Genomic DNA, 5,779 nt, shown 5'->3' on the forward strand with positions numbered 1-5,779 from the left:
TGCCATATTTTTTAACTCATCAGAAAGATTTCTAAAAAACACATTCTAGTTTAGGTGCCTACCATTTCTTTTATTTAAAATTTTATAATTTATATTATAATTATATTTTCAAATGTTTTGAGACATTCATGGTTGGGACTATTTCTATAGTTCATGCTGTCATAGGTTTGAAGGGAAGTACCTAATAGTAATATATGACAGGGATTCATCAGCTGTTTATGAAATAAGTGAATGAATGAATGAATTAATATAGGAAGTTGTTTTCATTAAACAAAATTAATTCTTCTATGAATAATGCTAATTAATTAAAGCTTTTGTATTTAGTATTGGAACTATGTTGACTTGCATTGAGTTTATGTTGACTAAAATGTTATAGTCCTCTTGGTAACACTTCACTGTTTAGAATCTCTACAGAGTGAGTGTTCTATATGCATGTAATGCTCACTAGCTTTCTTCCCTTCTCAGCTCCTCTCCTGGTGAATTGTTTTTGTTTCGTTTTATTTTTTAAGACAGGGAAGGTCTTGCTCTGTCACCCAGCATGGTGCAGTGGCATAGCTGTGGCTCACTGAAGCCTCGATCTTCTGGGCTCAGGCAATCCTTTCACCTCAGCCTCCTGAGTATCTGGGACTTCAGGTGGACACTCCTGTCCCTGGCAAATTTATTTTTAATTTAGTTTTTGTGGAGACAGGGTCTCACTATGTTGTTCAGGCTGGTCTCAAACTCCTAGCCTCAAGTGATCCTCCCCGCTCAGCCTCCCAAAGTGCTTGGATTTCAGGTATGAGTCTCCATGCCCAGCCTCCTAGTAAATTGTTAATAAAGAATTAATTCTTTATTCAGACCTACACCACACAACTAGCAAGGACAGCGAGATACCATTCTGGATTATTAGAAAGAGTTCAATTAAACTTTATGAAACTTGGAATGACATCAAATTTATTTTCAGCTAAATTTAGCTCTGAGTAAATTGTGAAAAAAGAGAAGTTTATTTTTAACCCTTACCCTCCAGATTTCCATTTTATGTCCCAGAATCTCTTTCTTCCATTGCCTGCTTGCACTTGCCTTGATCCAGGCCCTTTAAAGGATCCATTAGCTACTTTCTAGAGGCAACTACATCTACAATAGCTCTTCATTTGGGCCTAATGTGAGCTGTCCTGTGCTCAAAACCCTTTCAGATTCTCTTGCATCTTCCCATCTATATCAAAACTTTCTTCTGAGTTCCATAGTGTCAAGACCCCACTCTCTGCTTTTCAAGGGGATTGCTAACTAATCTGATGAACTCAGCCTCATTTATGTGATATTCAGATTAATACATTTTGAAAGAAGTCTTCCCTTACCCCTTTGTAAGAATGATTTTATTGAATAATAAAGTATAGTCAGAAAAAATGAATTAGTCATGAGTATATGATTCAATTAAGGTGAATACACACAAATAACCAGTACCCAAACTAAGGAACAGAACATTACCAACAGCCCAAAAGCCCTTTTCTAAGCACTATTGCCCCAAAAGTATGTATTATTCTAACTTCCCGCAGCATATTGTCCATTTTTATACTTTACTTTAATTGAATCATATATATAATATATATATTTAAAGATATATATAATATATATATTTAGATATATAATATATATATTAATGATATATATATACTCTTTTGTGCTTCTTTTAACATTATGCTTGTGAGATTGCTTTATATTGTTTCATGTGTTTGTGAGGCATTCTCATTGTAAATATAGCATTCCATTGTGCGAATATTCCACAATTTAATTTATTCATTTTATTGTTAATTCGCATTTGGGTAGTTTTCTGTTTGAGGATATTATAAACAGTGCCATGAATAGTCTTCACATGTTTTATTTGTTTGTTTATTTTGTTTTGTGTTTTGGTGAACTTAACATTGCATTTCTAGTGAATATATACGTAGGAGTGGAATTGTCTGTTCATAGAGTACACATATTTTCAGCTTTAGTAAAGGTTTGCAAAACGTTCAAAGTTTTCCAAACTGGTTAACCAGTATATACTCCCTGTAGCAGAATGTTAGTGTGTCTGTTTTTCAAAATCCTCCCCAACACTTGTTATTGTTTGCCTTTTCCTATTAGTTATTTTTGTGTATATATAGTAATGTCTCACTATAATTTTAATTTGCTGATTGTTATTATGCTGACGGCAATGAAATTTAGCATTGTTCATGTGTTTCTTGGCTCTCAATGTGCCTTCTTTTGTGAGGTGCCTCTTGAAGACTTTTGCCTATTTTCTATCATTGTCTTTTTTTGGCTAATTTATAGACATAATTACATTTGAAAAAGGAGCTTTAATGGTGAGAGCATGGTGGTAAGCAAGGTGTATAAAGCTGGGGAAAGATGTCTAGGCATATGGTTGTTTCTATTTCTAGGTACTTTCCTGTGTCTCAGCCTTACTTTGTACTTTCAGGTAACACAGGAACACAACTCCTGTCTTTAGCCACATACATCCTTTGGACCAATATCCTACCTTAGAACTGACATTTACCATCCCAGTTGCACATTTATGTTTATTTTTTATTTTAAATTGGGACTGAGAAAAATCTGATTCGAAGTCAAGATTCTGCTGAGTTGGCATCAAATATCAAAATCCAAGTGGAAAAAAATTGCAGAGAACTAGAACAAGTGAGGGTAGAGTGGAATAAACATCTCAGCCTTAGTTGTCATGTCTCTTGGCCACGGATACCGCTATGGTAATGTTATCCTATGTGAGTGGTCACAGTAACCAAAAGCACAGCCTCACTGAAAGGCATCCAGAGGAATGAATTAGCCCACAGCATTTGGACCAGCTGGAGAAATTTTCCCAGCAGTACTCCTCCAAAAAGAAGGCAAGCAGCAATACAGAGAATAACAATAATGCCAAACTATGAATGTTGTCAGCTGTATTTTCCATTTGTCTAAAACTTCTTACTTAGTCATGGGCCTACTATAACTTCCTAGGTTGAAAATCAACTTTTAATTCAATTGGTATAACGAATAGGCCATTATACAAATGCTTGGAAAGGTACTTGCAGGAATGCTGATTAGTGATCATTGCAGTTCATCCTGATTTAATATAACCCCAGATTTCAGGTCTTTACGCCTGTGTATTTTTTACATAGTACCATCAATTCCGCGGCAATTAATTCTTTTTGGTTTTGGTTTTTGTCTGTTTTAATGTTCACTAATAGTGTGAGCCTACCACCACCCAACCACAGTAAGCCATCTCCCAGAGTTGTTTAACATTTCATCCCCAGAGTCTCATGGACCTGGGTTTGAATCTGTGCTCTGTTTCCTACTTAGCAGAGTGAGTTGACTAAGTGACTGAACCTATCTAACCCTTAGTTTCTTCACCTGTAAAATGGGCTAAGGATAGTATCTATCTTTTAGAGTTGTCAGGTTTAAAAGAGATTAACCATGTAACTCAGGACTAAGCATAGAATAAAGTTGGCTAATATTGCTGCATACTTTACTATATACAAATTACAACATACAGCTTTAACACATGGCATTTATCTGTAAACTTTGCTAGAATTTTGGTAGTATTCTTCTTCATTTACTTGTACTTTAGTCATTGATCTTTTTAGAATAAGAACTTAGGAAAAGTAACTTTTTATCTCTACATTAGATTTAGAGAAATCAATAAATTGATCTGTGCATCCTAATTAATAGGTGAGCAGAGTTAATAAGAAAACTGCCTCACACAAGTTCCCAAGTGGCATAAATGTAAATGAAATCCTTTAAGTACTCAAAGAATCAGAGGCAACATTTTACCAAAAATATCCAAGATGTAAACATAAGCCAGCAATGGACTATAAACGCAACAGGGTGTTGACTAAATATATGTATTTTTATCCTTCTATTTCCCCTTTTTGTTCACTTTCCTCTCCTGGGATCCTTGGTTCTCCTGCTGATCCTTCCTGGTTTCCATTTATCTTCACCGTGACACTTCTCCCAGCCTTATCCTTCCCAGGCCAGTCAAACACTGTATTTCCCTATCTCACATCTTTATTGTATGATATAGTCCTAACATGTGGTCCACTTTGCTTTCACATTGGAAAGAGAAAAGTTCCACTGAGTTAGCTTTAAAGATTATGGAACCACCTGTCTAAAGATATGCTCATGTGAATAAGAAAATCTTGATTTGATTCAAAGGAACCAATTCTGAATGGTGGGGTTTGGAGAATCCTTTACAGAACTGCAAGTGAGACCATCTGGGGAAAATTCATTTTTTAATAGATCAAATCATTCAACCTATCAATGACTATACAGCCCGTGGCAATCCTAGTCCTGATTAAACATATCCACTTGCACATAAATATACGTATACACACACACACACACACACACACACACATGCAGCATATTTTGTGTGAGTTCATTGAAATGCTAATACTTTTTCACTACCTGTAATTATGTCTGCTAACATGATTCCCATCTCACCCTCCCCCCATGACTTAAAAGTTGTTAGGGAACACCATCTGAAAGACAGCCATATTCGCACACCCATGATAAGCTGGACCTGAAAAGTAATTATCCTGGATTAGCACAGGCCCTCTCTATGCTAAATTAGCAGCCAGATCCAGGCACACAGTTGCTTCCTGACCCTCAGTTACACTTCACAGAAAACCTGAAGAAATCTGAGTAGAGCAGTCCTCATGCTATTGGTTTAATTTACTTACCATTTATAGCCCTGGCCTCAGTTGGGAAACAGATTTATTTAGTCACTAAGAAATTGATCCAACCTAGGTACATATTAGGCAACAATTAAATGCTTATTCATTGGTTGGCAAGCAAGCAACTTTAAAAGGGGAGAAGAGGAAAATTAACACTAATGCTGGAGTAGGCCTTAGAGAGAAATCACTGTCCTGGATCCCCTTTTTCTGCATATCCGGAAACTGAACACACCGAGATTAAATGACAACAAATGGTGACAGAAGCGAACCTTATACCCAGAATTCTAGTGTAGTGCTCCTTCTATTATGATTTCTGGTCCATGTGTCAAAAGAAAATACTAAGGGCAAAAGACACACTTCGATGCTAAAGCTATAAAATGTCATCACCAATCATTAGGAAGAACTGCATAGCTCATTGATATATATCTTAAAATACATGTCACTCTTCTGACCCTGTGGCTGGATAATGTTTATAATAGCCTCTACTATTACACAGTTTCCATTTATATATTTCATCTTTGCATCTCTATTTATAAAAAAAACCCACAAATGTATTTGTTTCACAGGTGGCTTACAATTGGATGATGAGATAAACCTAAATATAACATAGTGGCAGATAACCATAAAACAGTCATCACCCCCAGATTCACTTTGCTCTTTATGTATACCAGTAATACAACAACAACAACAAAAAGTTTGGAACAAAAGTTTCTCCGTGATCCAAGTGGAGAATAGAAGAAGCTGTCTAATGGTATTACAGAGAATGCCTAGAGTGAGAAAATTGAGGCAATAAAACATGAAGTTATTTATCTGGCGTTAACACAAGGTTATTTATACTAAAGTAGTAGTTAAACAAGAGCTGGAAAACTTGGGAACATGGTGGAAGTAACTTTGGATGACACATTGAAGTCAACCAGTTTACATATTATTTCTTCTTTTATGTTCTTTATTCTGCTTTTTTGTAAAGCAGCAATTCATTGTCTGATGCCACCATATTGCACTTAGTTTAGCACTGTTAACTTTATTAAACTTAGTTTAGATCTTCGTTTAGCACTTAGATCTGCTCACTGATTTAGAATCCAGGGACTCTGATATTACGTTAC

The sequence above is a fragment of the Homo sapiens genome, chromosome 6, assembly GCF_000001405.40.
Source record: "Homo sapiens chromosome 6, GRCh38.p14 Primary Assembly".
Taxonomy (NCBI): domain Eukaryota; kingdom Metazoa; phylum Chordata; class Mammalia; order Primates; family Hominidae; genus Homo; species Homo sapiens.